The sequence below is a fragment of the Homo sapiens genome, chromosome 10 (assembly GCF_000001405.40).
Source record: "Homo sapiens chromosome 10, GRCh38.p14 Primary Assembly".
Classification (NCBI taxonomy): Eukaryota; Metazoa; Chordata; class Mammalia; order Primates; family Hominidae; genus Homo; species Homo sapiens.
The window spans coordinates 132,213,111-132,231,699 of record NC_000010.11 but is presented as its reverse complement, the minus strand read 5'-3'; the positions used below and the strand labels follow the sequence as shown (position 1 = coordinate 132,231,699).

At 54.9% G+C, this 18,589-nt stretch overlaps 1 protein-coding gene across 15 annotated transcripts in view, besides 1 other annotated feature; it reads left to right on the top strand.

The window, feature by feature from the left end:
* The window catches only part of STK32C (serine/threonine kinase 32C), a 124,754-nt gene that overhangs the window by 100,536 nt on the left and 5,629 nt on the right, over window positions 1-18,589 (top strand). For 8 of the 15 annotated variants that reach the window (NR_134911.1, XM_011539693.3, XM_047425115.1 and 5 more), the window contains 8 exons: window positions 3,572-3,723; window positions 4,732-4,905; window positions 5,916-5,953; window positions 6,084-6,173; window positions 6,364-6,467; window positions 7,177-7,293; window positions 8,714-8,839; window positions 8,928-9,059. Coding sequence is in view for 14 of the 15 variants with exons in the window: in XM_047425114.1 (XP_047281070.1) it covers window positions 3,572-3,723; window positions 4,732-4,905; window positions 5,916-5,953; window positions 6,084-6,173; window positions 6,364-6,467; window positions 7,177-7,293; window positions 8,714-8,839; window positions 8,928-9,059 (933 nt within the window). In the remaining variant the exon portion in view is untranslated. Of the gene's footprint in view, window positions 1-3,510; window positions 3,724-4,731; window positions 4,906-5,915; window positions 5,954-6,083; window positions 6,174-6,363; window positions 6,468-7,176; window positions 7,294-8,713; window positions 8,840-8,927; window positions 9,060-18,589 lie in introns of those variants that run through there. The other 7 variants (XM_011539688.2, XM_011539690.3, XM_024447949.2 and 4 more) reach the window with 3 other exon arrangements.
* Window positions 1,368-1,447: an enhancer, noted in NCBI's record as "active region_4222". NCBI's record gives its function as "activates an Ori minimal core promoter by ATAC-STARR-seq in GM12878 lymphoblastoid cells {active_cell/tissue: GM12878}" and the evidence as "EXISTENCE:reporter gene assay evidence [ECO:0000049][PMID:35858748]".

Here is an 18,589-nt window from a genome sequence, read left to right as displayed (position 1 = left end):
TTGGCTTTAGGGCCCATCCCAATTCAGGACCTCCAGATCCTCAACTTAATTACATCTTCAGAGACCTTTATTCCGAATAAGGCCACATTCCGAGGCTCCTGGTGGCTGTGTCTTTTGGGGACGCACTCGGGCCTGCTGTGAGGGATCGAGGCGTTTCCACCAGGGTCTCCAGGGAGGCACCATGGCCACTCACCCTGCACTGCCAGTACCTTGCATGGGGCTGGCATATAGGAAGACTTGCAAGCTTTTCTTGAACTGCAGTTGAGCTGAGAATGTTCCAGGACACAGAGCCCAAAGACTCGGGAGACCTGAGTGTAACCCTGCCTCCCCTTGCTCCTCAGGGCAGCTCCTCCCACAGGGCCAGGCCAGGGGCTTGGACTGTGGCTGATGGCTCCACCATCCAGGCAGTTTGTTTCCCAGGTGGGGTAACAGGCTGGAGGCAAGTGGATCTGCTGCTTTGTTCTGGTGGACAGCAGAGCCGTGGGTGTGCGAGGCCAGGCCCTGTCTCGAGGTGGCTCTTCTGTCCCTGCTCCCTGGCTGTGGGTGATGGGATGCGTGTGACGGGGAGAGCAGGCTTGGGTCACAGGGCCAAGGGGCTGGTCCCAGATGGAGCCCAGGCCACATGCTTGGGAAAGCGGGTGGTCCTGGGTGAGCCTGTCTGGCAGGAGGGTGAGGTCCTGTCTGGAGTAGACACCCGGTCTGTGTCCGCCGCACATGTGACAGGGCCCAGAGGGCACGGGAAGCCCAGGTGCCCTGTCCCCTGGTGAGTGGGCTGTGGGGGTTGAGCACCCCAAGGGAAGGCGTGTTCTTCCAGAGATTCCCCCGTAAGAGCTGAGCTGCATCGTGAGCAGGAGGGGCAGAGGGAGCCTGGAGAGGGTTGGGTCGCCTGGGCAGGCAGCTTTCTGGGGTGGTGCACAAGCGACAGAAAGCCTGAGGCTTGGGACCGGCTGAAGACGGCCTTGGGCTGCGGGTGCTGGCGCCGCTCCAGGCAGAGGTGGGCTCTGCAGCCCCCCCCCCCCCGCCAGCTTCCCCCCCAGCAGCAAGAGCCCTGGCCCCAGCCAGTGGCCCCAAGCCAGGCTCCTGAGGGGCAGAGGGTGAGGGCCGGATTTTCCACCATATTTGTCTCACAGCCTGTCTGGTCCCAGCCCCAGGGCAACAAACAGCCTTTCTGGAGCAGTTTCCAGACCTGCAGTGGCCGCCTTGAGCCTGCAGTGACCGTCTGCAGGAGGCCGCGGGTGCTGGGGCTGGCGCAGGAAAGCACCGTTGCTTCTGCGCCTGTGCAGAGTGAGGCTGGGGCTTCCATCCCGGGCACGGGACTCCTCGGCCTCCTGCGGCCGTGTGCATGGGAGGAAGGCCGTGCTGCCGAGCCACGCGACTCTGCCCCGTTGGCAGTGGGAAGCGGCAGGAGGGGGTCCTGCCAGGGGCAGCCAGGGGCTGCTGCAGCTTACGCTCACTGTCATTCTGAAACCCTCAACTGGCTTTCAAAATAACAATTTAAAAAATGGTCATAGGAAATGCAGGAAGTTCAGGAGAAATCCCGCCCCGCCCCGCCCTCCCAAGGCGGCCTCGTTCAAGCTTAGTCTCCGTCTGTTCTCGGGCTGCCTGCAGCTGCCCCCGCTCCTCAGCAGGTGTGGCCGCGTGTTCAGGAGCCCCCATCAGCACACGCGCCTCTGGGCAGCCCCCAACACAAGGCTCTTCCTGTCCCTTCAGGCTCAGCTTTCCCCTCCCACCGGGCAGGGAGGTGCTGAGGCCACGCCTGTTGTCAGCTTCCTGGAGAGGCCATACTTAGAGCCCATGGTGCCAGGCCAAGCCACTGTCTCCCGCACCACAGTGCTGCAGCCGGATCCACCCAGGCCACCGCTTGGCACCATCAGACATGCTTTCTTAGTTTGGGCCAGCCCGGTGCTCTGTGCACAGTGTGACTCCCAGTGGCCCCTTGCGGGAGGGAGGGTCACCGCTTTGCTTCACAAAAGGACTGAGTCTCAGGGAGGGGTCTCCAGTAAGGGCCCCGGAGCCAGGATGTGACTGAGACAGGTGCCTCCAGGGCCACACACTAACCAGTACAGGAACCTCTGGGGGCAGAATCATGGCCTCCAAAACACCCACATCCAAATCCCAGAACAAACATGTTACCATTCGTGGCAGAGAGGAATGAAGATTGCAGATTGAATTAAGGTTGTTAATCATCTGACTTAATTTTTTTAGAGACAGGGTCTCGCCCTGTCACCCAGGCTGAGTTCAGTGGTACAGTCGTGGCTCACTGCAGCCTCAACCTCTCAGGCTCAAGCAATCCTCCCTTCTCAGTCTCCTGAGTAGCTGGGACTACGGGTGTGTGCCACCACGCTTTCCGGGCATGCAGCCAGGAGCCCAGGGCCATCTGTGGCCCACCTTGAGATCCAGAATCATCCATTTCCTCCAGGCCCCCTGCTGGGCTCCAACTCCTTGAGGACCAGAGAGCAGAGGTTGTGGAAGGCCTTGGAAACGGGTCTGGATTACCTGTCCTGGGAAGGTCTCTCCCAACCTGAGTGTCAGACAGGGGTTAGCTCTGCTGCTCACAATTTTGTGCCTTAATTCCTGGCTTCCCTTTGGGGATCTTCATCCTCAATTCTGATTGACATCCTTGGCCACAAGGGACCCCCCTGCTCATTGATGCTTCTCACCCGTCACCTCACTCTCATCCTCACTGCTAAGCAATTAGCCGTGTGTTTGCGGCATCAGTGTTGACACCGATGATCCATGCTCAGAGGGTACAGGCCTGAAGAGCTATGTGGGGACTGGCGCCCCGGAGGGGGTCCCACTGTGGTGGCAGCGGTGGCCCCCAAGCCCCACGCTCACTCTGTGTGTCTCCTTGCAGGACAGGGTGAGGGGCCTTGGCCTCACGGTGTTGAGACGGGAGTCGGTCTCTGGAGTGTGGAGTGATGTGCGTCCAGGGTGAAGCTGCAGCCATGGTTGATGAGGCTTCCTGAGCGCAGGGCTCTGTGCTCAGTGGGTTTTCGCATTCATTCCCCAGTACCCCTCCGGGCTGCTTGCTGCTCCAAGCCCTGGAAAAGGATGTTGGGGTTTAGGAAGGCAAAACTCCATGCCCAGGTCGTGGCTGGTGAGGGGCGCTCCCCGCACAACCAGCCACTGCTTGGCTCCAACTCACGCCTGGATGCTGTTAGGCTGGACCCTGTCTGTTTGCAGATAGCGCCTGTTGACAGATGTGTCCTGCTGCAGACTTGAAACGCAGGACTGAGTCTCAGGGAGGGGTCTTCACTAACAGCCATGGAGCCAGGATGTCACTGAGACAGGTGCCGCCAGGGCCACACACTAACCAGTACAGGAACCTCTGGGGGGCAGAATCACGGCCTCCAAAACACCCACATCTTAATCCCCAGAGCAAATATGTTACCATATGTGGCAGAGAGGAATGCACCTGCCGCGTCTAGGAGGCAGAGGGGCTGCGGCGCGTCCCCAGGTGTCCCCTTGTGTCCTGACGATGCGTCCCCAGGCATCCCCATGCATTTCCAGGTGTCCCCACGTGTCCCCAGGCGTCCTCAGGCGTCCTGCCGAACAGCCCTGTGCCCTCCAGGTGTGCATTGTGCAGAAGCGGGACACGGAGAAGATGTACGCCATGAAGTACATGAACAAGCAGCAGTGCATCGAGCGCGACGAGGTCCGCAACGTCTTCCGGGAGCTGGAGATCCTGCAGGAGATCGAGCACGTCTTCCTGGTGAACCTCTGGTGAGCCTGCCATGGCCTCGCTGCAGAAAGACTTACCGTCCTGAAGCCGGGAAGGCACTGGCTATCCTCTCCTGCCCTTGGTGCTCCTTGGCCCTCGTGCCTCGGAGATGCCTCTGCCACCCACAGGCCCTCTCTAGCCCTCCTCATCTATCCCCCTTCCTGTGCCCCAGGCCTGGCAGTGGCCCAGGTGGCCATGACATGCTGGGGTTGGTTAATGCAGTGTCTCTTCTGAGCCTGCCGGAAGACCAGGGCTTCCCTACAATGGAGATGTGCTCCCATGGAGTCTCTGGCACTAGTCAGAGAGGGAGAGAGTTTAGGGACTGAAAAACTCACCACTGTCATCACCATCACCATCACCACCATCATCGCCATCACCACCACCATCACCACTGCAACCATCATCACTCTCATCACCGTCATCACTATAATCAACACAATCACTATTGTCACCACCATTACCACCACCACCACGACCACAATCACTGTTATCACCATCACCACCACCCTCAGTCCTCACTACCGTCATCCTCACCATCACCGTCACCACCACCACCATCACTGCCATCGTCAACACCATGGATGCTGGTTGTTAAATGCCAGCTCTTTGCCCAACACTGTCAAGAGTGGTACCTACACGGCCTCATTTTCTGTAACAACCCTCCGAGGCAAATGTCTGTATCCCCATTTTACCGAAGAGGAGGCCGGGCAGCCTGAAGCACCCGGAGCTGGCACTGTAGCTCTGCTCTGCATTTGCCACTCCCAGGTGCCTCTGGCCCCAGCTGGGCCACCTCCAGCACAGGGTGGTGTGTCTTTCCTCAGGATCTGGGCTCAGAGCTGCTCTGGGCTGGGGTGCAATCAGTGCCTTGGGCAGGCCCCTCCTCCTGGGAATGCCTGGTGGCTGATGCTGGGGTGGGGCTGTGGTCCTTAGGGGGAGTGTGTCAGCTGTGGGAGCAGCCATGACTGGCTCCCCAGCTGTGCGCACAACAGGCCTTCCATCGGTGCCCACAGGTACTCCTTCCAGGACGAGGAGGACATGTTCATGGTCGTGGACCTGCTACTGGGCGGGGACCTGCGCTACCACCTGCAGCAGAACGTGCAGTTCTCCGAGGACACGGTGAGGCTGTACATCTGCGAGATGGCACTGGCTCTGGACTACCTGCGCGGCCAGCACATCATCCACAGGTGTGTGCGTGGCAGACGGCGCAGGTACCTGCTGAGGTGGGCGGGGCTGAAGCAGCCTTAGGTCAGGCTGCCGGCACGGCGGCCGTACTCCCTCAGAGCGGGTCTAGCTCCTCTGCCCCACCCTTGCCTGAGTGCCTGCCCCCAGCTGTGGCACCTGTGCCGACCAGGTCAGCCCCATAGCTGTGTGCCTGGTGTCCATCTGGGGGGACCTCGTCCCAGCAGCCCCAGCTGAGACTGGGCACAGTGGGCTGTTAGCCCTGGTGGACAGACCACCAGGCTGGGTCACAGCAGGTGGCCTTCACCTGGTCCATTTAACTGAAGGCTCCTGTTTGCCCATCCACCACATCCCAGGGAATCCAAACTAATTTTAACATTAGCTTAAAGCAGATGAAATTAGGAAGCAGAGCTGGTGTGATGGCTCTGAAAATAAAATTTAAAAAAAGAAAATAGGAAGCAGATTATGAAGGAAGTGAAATTGGGAAGCAGAAATTAGGCTGAAATTCCGCAGCAATGGAACAAAATGAAAATATCTGTGAGGTATATTTTAAAGTCGAATGGACTGGTGTTTGCATTTCTGCTCTTGGGGACTCGGATGTCTGATTATGACCTAGGCACCAGTCACTGAGCACTGGCTGTGTACCTGGAAAAGTTGGGACAAAGCAAGAGCCGAGGTGGCTTGGTCTCCTAGAGGCCGAGTCTTGGAGGGGGAGGGCAGACCCTGCCAGCAATTGCTCTCGTCCTCTGGGGCTCCAGGCCCCCTCCCAGCATCTGGTGCCAGGTGTGTGCTGCTGCCCAGATGCCACAGGGAACGAAGTGGCTGACTTCATCGCCTCTGCCCCCACGCAGGGGTGTGAGGTCCTAGCATCATCCAAGGACCAAGTCAAGCTCCCAGGCCTCTGCCTCGAGTGGGTTGGTGGGATGTCCTGGGGACTCCAGGGATTGTGACAGAGATTCCAGGGCAGAAACAGGGCAGATTCCCAACTCACCTTCCCACTTTCTGCTCTTTCTAGAGATGTCAAGCCTGACAACATTCTCCTGGATGAGAGAGGTGTGTGGGGTTGGGTGTGGGCAGCCCAGGTGGGTGGTGGCAGGGATGGGCCTGTCAGGGGAGGAGGATCCTGCACGCAAGGATGCATCTCTGGTCCTGGGACAGCCACACCTGACCCCTCTCTGCACAGGACATGCACACCTGACCGACTTCAACATTGCCACCATCATCAAGGACGGGGAGCGGGCGACGGCATTAGCAGGCACCAAGCCGTACATGGGTGAGCCCGAGCTGGGGTTCCAGATGGGAGCTGGCTTCCTCCAGGTGGGAAGGACAAGACCTCGGTGGCTTCTCTGTCCCACCCTGGAGGCAGCCTGGTCTCGGGATGTGGCCTCAAGGTGCCGGCCCTGTGCCCACGGGTCCGGGCTGTGACCCCGTGGCAGCTGTTTTTCCTTCTTTCTGTCGGAAAGCTCCGGAGATCTTCCACTCTTTTGTCAACGGCGGGACCGGCTACTCCTTCGAGGTGGACTGGTGGTCGGTGGGGGTGATGGCCTATGAGCTGCTGCGAGGATGGGTATGGACCCCCTGCAGCCCCTGGGCTTGGCTGCCAGGCCCCTGCTCTCTGCCCCCACCAGTGCTGGGGAGGGGGTGGCTGCCCCAGTGTCCAGGTGCGCAGGGATGTCTCCACTGTGTCTGAGGAGTCACGCTTTTATCGAAGTGTGTAGTTGGTGATGGAATGCCTGAGCAGGAGGAGGAAGGACAGACTCACTGTGGTTTCCCGGGGCCGCTGCTGGTGCCTGCAGGCCAGCCTCTGTGGGGGTGGACAAGGCTGAGAACTGGCCAGCAGGGGTGCTGCCTCGGAACTTTCCACAAAAAGTTTCTTTTGGGGCCCTGTGCTCTTACCCTTGTGGCCACGGCGAGGCCAGTCCTGGAGACCGGGAGGCTGGGGGTCCTCTTGTGGACCGTACCCCTCAGCCCTGCACAGGACCCCACCTCTGAGGAAGCCAGCTCCCTCCTGGCCCTCTGGGGCTGATCTACCTGGACCCAGGCCCCCTGGGATCCCAGCCAGATGGGCGCAGCAGCCAGGGCGCAGGACCCAGGCGTAAGCTTTATCTCACCCAGGCTCCTCCGCGGCAGGTGGAGGCCAGGCTGTGCTCAGAGCTGTGCCTGCACTTGGGGTGGGGGGAGGGGGTCCTCTCAGGGCGATGGCACCTGTGTCTGGCATTGTTCTGGGTGTCCTGGGGGCCAGGAGGACCTGCCCAGCACTGCCTCCCTGTCTCCAGAGGCCCTATGACATCCACTCCAGCAACGCCGTGGAGTCCCTGGTGCAGCTGTTCAGCACCGTGAGCGTCCAGTATGTCCCCACGTGGTCCAAGGAGATGGTGGCCTTGCTGCGGAAGGTGAGCCCCCATCCCTGAGCCTCCTCACCCTCCGAGCACCCACCTCCCTCCCTCACTTACCTGCGGCTCGGGACACCCCCTCCAGTGCACAGTTAGTGCCGCTTCCTGGCAGGCACAGATCCCTTCACTGCAACCTGTGGGGGCCTCCGCAGATGGCAGCCCCAAGCCCCAGGAAGCGAGCTGGTGGCAGGCTCTGTGGCCCTCTCATGGCGAGCCCTACCAGGTCACTGGTGTCCTGGTGATCCCCTGAGCTGCGTCTCCAGGCACCCTCACAGCAGGCTTGTGCGCCCGCCCTGCCGGTCACCACAGAGGAGCCCTGAGCCACGTCCCCTTGTCCCACGTATTGGAAGGAGGGTGTCGGGTGGGTGGGTTCAAGCCCATGCTATCTCCGGGACCCTTTGCCCCAGTGCCTCCTGGGGAAGGTGGGCAGCCACTGCCCACTGCAAACACCTCTCAGGGGACATCAGCCTGGCAGGGACACGGGCAGGGGTGTGGCCATCAGTAGTGCCTCCCATTTGTGATCTGGTGCTAGGCTGGGGCTGTGCCTTGACTGGGCTGCACAGCTCCCTGTTCCGAGCCTCGCATTAACACCATAGGGGGTTCGGAGTCAGAGCCAGGCCCAGGCAGGACAGGGAGGGGAGTGAGTGTGCCACACGGGCCCGGCTGCCTCCCGGCCCCCGTGTCTCAGGCAGGTGGGGCCTCCTGCCCTGGAATTGTAGCCAAGCAGCCTAAATCCTTGGGGAGGCCTTGCCTGCCGGGGCCTCTCCCCAGCCCCGAGAGTCTCTTAACTCTGCTGTAGCCCCACGAAGCTCAGTCACACCTGCCCAGGTGGCTCACAAGGTGGCACTGGGCTAGAGAGGGCCTGCGTGGGGACTGGGGATGACCCACACGCCCAAGCCCAGGTCTGGGAAACCTCGCACGGGGTCTGGGTCTGCGGCATTTTCCCTGGAAAGGCGGGAGGTGCCAGCGCTGGGATGTTGCTTCCCAGGCCATGCATGGCTGCCCCGGGCTCATCTGGCCTGTGGAGGTCCCATGATTCGGTGAAGGAAGTGGCTCTGGGATAGTTACTGTGAGGCCAGCCATGTGCCGAGTGTTAGCCGCTAGCCGGGCCTCGGCTGCCACCTCCTGGCAAATCCCAGCAGAGCCTTCCCTGCAGATCCCTCTGCTGTCCTCTGGCGCCAGGGGTTTAGGTAGCAGCACTGAGAACAGGCGTCCCTTGGGCCACATGCTGAGCCAGCCACGGTGCTTTGCCTGATGTCGGCCGTCGGCACCACCCTTCCTCGCGTGGCCCTGAGGTTCCTGAATTCTGAACCTCAGGCTTGGTGGGACCCTCCTCAAGGTGCCCTGGCCTGGGGGTGGCGGGCTATTCCGTGCTGGTGGGCTGTGGGCCCTGGACCCTCTGACTCATGCCTGGTTGCAGCTCCTCACTGTGAACCCCGAGCACCGGCTCTCCAGCCTCCAGGACGTGCAGGCAGCCCCGGCGCTGGCCGGCGTGCTGTGGGACCACCTGAGCGAGAAGAGGGTGGAGCCGGGCTTCGTGCCCAACGTAAGCCTGTGGGCGGCTCAGGTGGGGGGCCCTGGGGATGGATGTGGCGTCCTCCACGGGCCGGGGCTCAGCACCCATCCCTCTGTAGAAAGGCCGTCTGCACTGCGACCCCACCTTTGAGCTGGAGGAGATGATCCTGGAGTCCAGGCCCCTGCACAAGAAGAAGAAGCGTCTGGCCAAGAACAAGTCCCGGGACAACAGCAGGGACAGCTCCCAGTCCGTGAGTGCCAGGGCAGGCTCAGGGCGCGGCGGCGGGCTGGGCTTGGGGCTCCTCTCTACCACCGAGCAAGGCGTGTGGGGACCCCTGGCAGCGCACACGTCTCGGAAGTCCAGCAGACCGTTTCCTGAAGTCCTGAGAAGGCCAGAGACCTCCCTTCTGCCTTTCCCAGCCCCCACCTCGCTCCTTATGAAGCAGGTGGGCAGGGACAACCAGGGCTGGGGTTATGAGTGCACGGGGATGGCCATGTGAAGCCTTCGTGCTTGCCCAGGTGTGCTGGTGTTGGTTGTGTGTGCGGGGACGGCTATGTGAAGCCCTCACACTCGCCCAGGTGCGTCAGCATCAGGTATGTGTGCCGGGACAGCCATGTGAAGCCCTCACACTCACCCAGGTGCGTCGGCATCAGTTGTGTGTGTGGGGACGGCCATGTGAAGCCCTCACACTCGCCCAGGTGTGCTGGCTTTGGTTGTGTGTGCAGGGATGGCCACATGAAGCCCTCACACTCGCCCAGGTGCGTCAGCATCAGGTGTGTGTGTGGGGACGGCCATGTGAAGCCCTCACACTCGCCCAGGTGCGTTGATGTTGTGTGTGCAGGGATGGCCATGTGAAGCCCTCACACTCACCCAGGTGCGTTGATGTCAGTTGTGTGTGCAGGGACAGCCATGTGAAGCCCTCAGACTAGCCCAGGTGTGTCGGTGTCAGTTGTGTGTGTGGGGATGGCCACGTGAAGCCCTCACACTTGCCCAGGTGCGTTGATATTAGTTGTGTGTGCAGGGATGGCCACGTGAAGCCCTCACACTCACCCAGGTGCGTTGATGTCAGTTGTGAGTGTGTGCAGGGATGGCCACATGAAGCCCTCAGACTCGCCCAGGTGTGCTGGCTTTGGTTGTGTGTGCAGGGACGGCCATGTGAAGCCCTCACACTCGCCCAGGTGCGTCAGCATCAGTTGTGTGTGTGGGGACGGCCATGTGAAGCCCTCACACTCACCCAGGTGTGTCGACATCAGTTGTGTGTGGGGGGACGGCCATCTGAAGCCCTCACACTCACCCAGGTGTATCGGTGTCAGTTGTGTGTGCGGGGATGGCCACGTGAAGCCCTCACACTTGCCCAGGTGCGTTGATATTAGTTGTGTGTGCAGGGATGGCCACGTGAAGCCCTCACACTCACCCAGGTGCGTTGATGTCAGTTGTGAGTGTGTGCAGGGATGGCCACGTGAAGCCCTCAGACTAGCCCAGGTGTGCTGGCTTTGGTTGTGTGTGCAGGGACGGCCATGTGAAGCCCTCACACTCGCCCAGGTGCGTCAGCATCAGTTGTGTGTGTGGGGACGGCCATGTGAAGCCCTCACACTCGCCCAGGTGCGTCAGCATCAGTTGTGTGTGTGGGGATGGCCACGTGAAGCCCTCAGACTAGCCCAGGTGCGTCAGCATCAGGTGTGTGTGCCGGGACAGCCACGTGAAGCCCTCACACTCGCCCAGGTGTGCCGGCTTTGGTTGTGTGTGCGGGGACGGCCACGTGAAGCCCTCATGCTCACTCAGGCATGCTGGTATTCTGGGGCTGCCAGGACAGGTGACCACGAATCAGGTGGTTGAAGAACAGCAATGCGTCTCTCTGAGATGGATCTGAGTCGTAATGAAATGGTCTCCTTCACAGCCGGCTGTGCGTGAACTACTCTGTCTCCTGCAGCTCCCCTGTCTTGATAATTGGCTGTCTAGGCAGCGGGTAAGGTGAACCCCTTGGGCAGTTATGTGATGATCTCAGTTTCTGTAAATCGGAAGTCCAGGCATGGTGCAGCTCTGTTCCCTGCTTCGGGGTCTCACCAGAATGTGAGCTAACATTGAGGTCGTGGCCTTGTCAGGTGCAGCTCTGTTTCCTGCTTCTGGGTCTCCCCAGAGTGTGAGCTAATATTGTCTGAGGTCGTGGTCTCATCAGGGATTTGACAGGTGCTGTGGTTGAAATGTTTCCCTTAAAACTCGTGTTGGAATTTGCTTCCTATTGTGATGGTGGTAGAGATGGGACTTTTGGGGGCTGATGGGGCCACGTAGGTTCTTCCAGCATGGATGGGGTTAATGCTGTTGTAGAAGGGTGACTTTAGTCCTCTTTTGAGTCTTTGATCCTCTGCTATGTGAGGACGTGGTGTTCCCAATGTGGACGTGGTTCGTGTTCCATGTGAATGTGATATTCACAATAGAGCATCAACAGGCTCCCTTTTAATCAGCAGATTTAAAAAGAAATGTGTTGTCTCATGGCTTGGAGGCCTGAGTCCAAAGTTAAGATGTCAGCAAAGCCGTGCCCCCTCTGAAGGCTCTCCGGGGAGGAAAACCAGTCCTTGCCCCTCTACCCTCCGGTAGAGGCTGCCTTGGCCTAGACGCATCCCCCCAGCCCCTGCTTCGCTGCCGCGTGGGGTCGGCCTGTGTGTGCGTCTCCATCTCCTCCCCTCTTCTCATAAGGACACCAGGCATTGGATTTAGGGCCCACCCTGATCCAGTATGGCCCCATCTTATCTTGATGATATCTGCAAAGACCTCACTTCCAAATGAGGTCACATTCACAGGTACCCAGGATTAGAATTTGAGTGTGTCATTTTTGGGGACACAGTTTGGCCCATACCACCAGGATGTGGCTGATATTCACCAAGGAGTAGCTATGGTTGTGTGTTGATGTCAGGGTGACGGTGATGACCCTGGGTCCCTCGGTGGTCCCCTTGCCCCTGAGTCTGCCTGAGCCTGTGGTGGATGTCCTGGGAAACTCTTGTGCCTCAGCCCCCGTGCAGCCTCCTCAGACCTGGTGGGCCCTGTGTTGCTCCTGGGCAGAAGACGGGTGTCAGTCCCCTCCTCACCATGATGTGGGGGGCAGGGGTGGGGTCATGCCCTGGGTGCCCTGATTTTGGGGGGAACACGGCCCCCCAGTGGGTCAGGCTCCCATCCTCGCCCCTCCTCCAGGACGGCTGCCGGCAGCCCTGGGTGTCCTCAGGCAGAATTGCTGGTGGAGAGCTGCTGTCTGCCAGGTGGCCACTGTGAGGCACTGCTGAGAGCCACAGGATGGTTGGAAGGTTCTCGGGGTTGGGGGTTCTTTGGCATTGCCCCCATTGGATGTTTAAGTTTTCCCTACCAGAGCATGTCCAGAGCCAGGGCTCTGGGGTGTAGAAACAGGCCCAGGATGAGTTAGGAACCCTCATGGGAGACTCAGGGATGGACAGTGTGCAGAGCCCAGCTGGCCATGCTGAGTTCCCAGGAGGCTCTGGCTGGGAACAGGTAAGGCCAGGCACCTGTGAGCGGGAGGAGCTCGGCTTTGTCTTGGGTTGGTTGTGTGGAGATGTTTTGGCTTGAGGGTAGGAGGTGTTCTGAAAGGAAAGCATCACTCCAAAAAAAAAGTCCCACTGTTAACCTTGAGGCTGAGAGAGGTTTTTGGAAACAGCTTTATTTTGATATAATTCACATTCCATGCAATATACAGTGCATCCATGTAAAGCATATAATTCCATGGTTTTTAATATAGTCACAGGGCTGTGCATTCTCCACCACAATCTGATTTTAGAACCTTTTCATGTAATGTAAGAGAAAGACCCCACCTATTAGCAGTCATGCCCCATTCCCCTCTTCTCCCCTCCCCTGGCAGCCACGAAGCTACTTTCCGTCTCTGTAGGGTTGCCTGTTGTGGGCGTTTCATGGAAGTGGAGTTACACACTATGTGGTCTTTGCAGCTGGCTTCTTTCACTTCGCAGGATGCTTTTGAGGCCCGTCCACGTTGTAGCCTGTCAGTGCTTCATTCCTGTTGATGGCTGAGTAATATTCCACATATGTATCACCTTTCCTTTATCCAGTCATCAGTTGATGAGTATTTGTTCTTTCCACTTGTTAACATTTTTCATTATCATGAATAATGCTGCTGTGAACATTCACATACAAGTCTTTGTGTGGATATGTACTTTTATTTTTGGGGGGCACATACCTAGGCATGAACCCGCTGGGTCATATGTGACTCTGTGCTTCATGTTTGGAGGAAACACCTACCCTTTTCTACAGCAGGTGTGCCATTTTATGCCCCTACCAGCAGTGTGTGAGGGTTCTAATTTCTCCATATATTTACCAAGTCCTGTTATTGTCTGGTTTATTTTTTAAAAAATCATAGTTATCTTAGTGTGCAGTGATTGTGTGGTTATGGTTTGCATTTCTCTGATGATATTGAACATCTTTTGAGGTGTTTTATCAGGCATTGTGTCTAGAGAAATGTCTATCCAAATGTTTTAAAATTTTTATTGTCTTTTTTTTAGTCTACTCTGACAATATATTTTAATTGGCATATTTATTTTACTTTATTTTTTTTTAGAGACAGGGTCTTGCTTTATTACCAAAACTGGAGTGCAGTGGTGCAATGAAGGCTCACTTCAGCCTTGACTTCCTGGGCTCAAGTGATCCTCCCTGCCCCAGCTGCCAGAATGGCTGGAACTGTGGGTGTGCACCACCACACCTGGCTCATTTGAAAAAAATTTTGTTGTAGAGACAGGGTCTCACTATGTTGTCCAGGTTGGTCTCAAACTCTTGGAGTCCTCCCACCTCAGCCTCCCAAAATGCTGGGATTACAGATGTGAGCCACTGTGCCTGACCTAATTGGTGTATTTTAGACCATTCACATTTAAAGCGACCAGGGAGGCTGAGGCAAGAGGACTGCTTGAGTCCAGGAGTTTGAGACCAGCCTGGGCAACAAGGTGAGACCCATCTGTATTAGTCTATTTTCACACTGCTAATAAAGGCATACCTGAGTCTGGGTAATTTATACAGGAAAAAGGTTTAATGGATTTACAGTTCCACATGGCTGGGGAGGCCTCACAGTCGTGGAAGGCAAGGAGGAGAAAGTCACATCTTACATGGATGGCGGCAGGCAAAGAGAGAGCTTGTTCAGGGAAACTTTTGTTTTTAAAACCATCGGATCTCATGAGACTCATTCACTATCATGACAACAGCACAGGAAAGACCCGCCCCCATAATTCAATCACCTCCCACCAGGTTCCTCCCACAACATGTGGGAATTGTGGGAGTCACAATTCAAGCTGAGATTGGGATGGGGACAGAGCCAAACCATATCATTCTGCCCCAGCCCCTCCAAAATCTCATGTCCTCACATTTCAGAACCAATCATGCCTTCCCAACAGTCCCCCATAGTCTTATTTTGGCATTAACTCAAAAGTCCACAGTCCAATGTCTCATCTGAGACAAGGTAAGTCCCTTCTGCCTATGAGTCTGTAAAATCAAAAGCAAGTGACTTCCTAGATACAATAGGGGTACAGGCACTGGGTAAATTCAGCCATTCCAAATGGGAGAAATTGGCCAAAACAAAGGGGCTACAGGCCCCATGCAAGTCTGAAATCCAGCAGGCCTGTCAAATCTTAAAGCTTCAAAATGAACATCTTTGACTCTATCTCTCACATCCAGGTCATGCTGATGCAAGAGTTGGGTTCCCATGGTCTTAGGCAGCTCTGCCCTTGTGGCTCTGCAGAGTACAGCCTTCCTCCCGGCTGCTTTCGTGGGCTGGCATTGAGTGTCTGTGGCTTTTCCAGGTGCATGGTGCAAGCTGTTGGTGGATATACCATTCTGGGGTGTAGAGGATGGTGGCCCTCTTCTCAGAGCTCCACTAGGCAGTGTGCCCCAGTGGGGACTTTGTATAGGGGCACCAACCCCACATTTCCCTTCTGCATTGCCCTAGCAGAGGTTCTCCATGAGGGCCCCACCCCTGCAACAAACTTCTGCCTGGACATCCAGGTGTTTCCATACATCCTCTGAAATGCAGGCAGAGGCTCCCAAACCTCAATTCTTGACTTCTGTGCACCTGCGGGCTCAACACCACATGGAAGCTGCCACAGCTTGGGGCTTGTACCCTCTGAAGCCACAGCCTGAGCTGTACCTTGGCCCCTTTCAGTCATGGCTGGAGCAGCTGGGATGCAGTGCAGCAAGTCCCTAGACTGCACACAGCAGAGGGACCCTGGACCTCGCCCATGAAACCATTTTTTCCTCCTAGGCCTCTGAGTCTGTGATGGTAGGGGCTGCCGCAAAGGTCTGTGGCATGCCCTGGAGACATTTTCCCCATTGTCTTGGTGATTAATATTCAGTTCCTTGTTGCTTATGCAAATTTCTCCTCAGAAAATGGGGTTTTCTTTTTTTTCTCTCTTTTTTTTTTTTTTTGAGACAGTCTTGCTCTGTCACCCAGGCTGGAGTGCAGTGGTGCAATGGCGGCTCATTGCCACTGCAACCTCCGCTTCCTAAGTTCAAGTGATTCTCCTGTCTCAGCCTCCCAAGTAGCTGGGATTACAGGCACGCACCACCACACCCAGCTAATTTTTGTATTTTTAGTAGAGAAGGGTTTCACCATGTTGGCCAGGCTGGTCTTGAACTCCTGACCTCAGGTGATCTGCCTGCCTTAACCTCCCAAAGTGCTAGGATTACAGGCGTGAGCCACCGTGCCCAGCCAGGAGTTTCTTTTCTATTGCATTGTCAGGTTGCAAATTTTTTGAACTTTTATGCTGTTTCCTTTTTAAAATGGAATGCCTTTAACAGCACCCAAGTCACCTCTTGAATGCTTTGCTGCTTAGAAATTTCTTCTGCCACATACCCTAAATCATCTCTCAAATTCAGAGTTCCACAAATCTCTAGGGCAGGGGCAAAATGCTGCCAGTCTCTTTGCTTAAAGCATAACAAGAGCCACCTTTGCTGTAGTTCCCAACAAGTTCCTCATCTCCATCTGAGACCAGCTCAGCCTGGACTTCATTGTCCATATCATTATCAGCATTTTGGTCAAAGCCATTCAACAAGTCTCTAGGAAGTTCCAAACTTTCCCACATTTTCCTGTCTTCTTCTGAGCCCTCCAGATGGTTCCAGCCTCTGCCTATTACCCAGTTCTAAAAAGTTGCTTCCACATTTTCAGGTATCATTTCAGCAGCGCCCTACTTTACTGGTACCAATTTACTGTATTAGTCTGTTCTCACGCTGCTAATAAAGACATATCCGAGACTGGGAAATTTATACAGGAAAAAGGTTTAATGGACTTACAGTTCCACATGGCTGGGGAGGCCTCACAATCATGGCGGAAGGCAAGGAGGAGCAAGTCACATCTTACATGGATGGCAGAGAGAGCTTGTGCAGGGAAACTTTTGTTTTTAAAACCATCAGATCTCATGAGACTCATTCACTATCATGACAACAGCACAGGAAAGACCCGCCCCCATAATTCAATCACCTCCCACTGGGTTCCTCCCATGACACACGGGAATTGTGGGAGTCACAATTCAAGCTGAGATTGGGGTGGGGAGACAGCCAAACCTTATCACCAGCTCTATAAAAGACAAAAAAATTAGGCAGGCATAACAGTGCATGCCTGTAGTTCCAGTGACGTGAGAGGATTGCTTGAGTCCAGGAGTTTGAGACCAGGCTGGGCAACATGGCGAGACCCTGTCTCTACAAAAAAAAATTATCTGGGTGTGGTGGGATACACCTGTGATACCAGCTACGCAGGAGGCTGAGGCAGTAGGATTGCTTGAGCCCAGGAGTTCAAGGCTGCAGTAAGCTATGATCATGCCCCTGCACTCCAGTCTGGGTAACAGAGAGACACGCTGTCTTGTAAATAAATAAGTGGTCATTTATATAGTTCAATATGATATCTACCTTATTTGTAACTGTAGTCTATTTATTGTTCTTCCTTTTTCCCTATTTTTCTGCCTTTTCTGGTTTTAATTAAGCATTTTATATTATTCTAGTTTATCTCCTCTCCTGGCCTGTTAATTATACTTCTTTTTGAAATATTTTTAGTGGTTGGCCTGGACATTGCAGTATACCTTTACCATACAGTCTACCTTCACCTGACACTCTGCCCCCTCATGTGCAGTGGGATGCCTTGTGACGGCACCTCTCGTGCAATCCTCCTGTTCCTGATGACATTGCTGTCATTCATTTCATTTATCTGTATGCTATAATTGCTCATTACATTGTTACTACTGTTATTTTAAACAGTTATCTTTTGGATCAATTAAGAAAAATTAAAAATTTCATTTTACCTCTATTCATTCCTCCTCTAAAGTGCTTCCTTTCTTTATGCAGACCCAAGTTGCTGACCTAAATCATTTTCCTTTCCCCTGAGGAACTTCGTTTAACATGTCTTATAGGACAGGTCCAACAGAGATGAATTCCTTCCCTTTTTGTTTGTCCAAAAAAGTCTTTACTTTCACCTTTAAATAATAATTTCACTGGATATAGAATTCTAGATTGGTAGGTTTTTTACTTTCAACACTTTAAATATTTCACTCCGCTCTCTTCTTGCTTATGTGATTTCTAACAGGCAGTCTGCTCTAATTCTTTTTCTGTAAGTAGAATTCCTCGCCACCCCCCACCCCCAGCTCATTTCAAGATTTTCTCTGTCTTTGGTTTTCTGCAATTTGAATAATGATATGCCTAGGTACAGATTTTTTTTTAATATTCATTCTGCTTGGTGTTCTCTGAGCTTCTTAGATCCTGTGGTTTGGTGTCTGTCATTAATTTCAGAAAATTCCCAGTCATTATTATTTCAAATATTCTGTTCTCTTTCTCTTCTCCTGCTGGAAATCCAATTATGCGTGTGTGGTGCCGTTTGAAATTGTCCCACAGCTCTTGGATATTCTGTTCATTTTTTTCACTCTTTTTTTTTTCTCTTTGCATTTCAGTTCGAGAAGTTTCTGTTGACATTTCTTCAAGCTCATAGATCCTTCCTCATCTGGATCCAGTCTACTGAGGAACCATCAAAGGCATCCTCATTTCTGTTACAGTGTTTTCTACTTCCAGCATTTCCTTTTGATCCCTCCTTGGAGTTTCCATCTCTCTACTTACATTGCCCTTCTGTTCCCCATCTGTTCTTGCCTGCTTTTCCCCTGGAGCCCTTGCCATATTAATCACAGTTATTTCAAATTTCCTGTTTGATAATTCCAACATGGGTGCCATATCTGGATCTGTTCTAATGTGTGCATTGTCTCTTCACACTCTATTTTTTTCCTTAAGACCTTGTAGTCTGCCTTGTAATGTTTGTTGAAAGCTGGACGTGATGTATCTGGTAATAAGAGCTGAAGTAGATGGGCCTTTAGTGTGAGGTTTATGTAATCTGGCCAGGTTTGGGGCAGGGTTTAAAGTCTGCTGTAGCTGTGGGCACCAGAGGCTTCACATTTGTTTTCATTTCCCGGGTTGCCCTTGGGCTTGCCTAAATCCTCCTCCTCAGAGAGAGTCTGCGTCTTGTGGCCCTCTCTGCTGGAATCCCTGTCACACTGCGGAGGCCCTGTGGGTGTGTTGGGAAGATGGTGGGGAGGGAACTGTTCCACAGTCTGTGACCAAATCTCAGTCTTGGGGGCCTGTGCCCCTTCACAGTTGTTGATCTGCTTTTCCCCTCCCCTTAGGTGAGACAGGCTAAAGCGGGGTACAGGCTGAAAAACAGTCCTCCCCCAAGTGAGATAAGCCTTTCCTTTGGAGAGCAAATTCCATTTGCTGTGGAGAATGCTCTGGGTGTATTTCACAGTGGTGACTGTC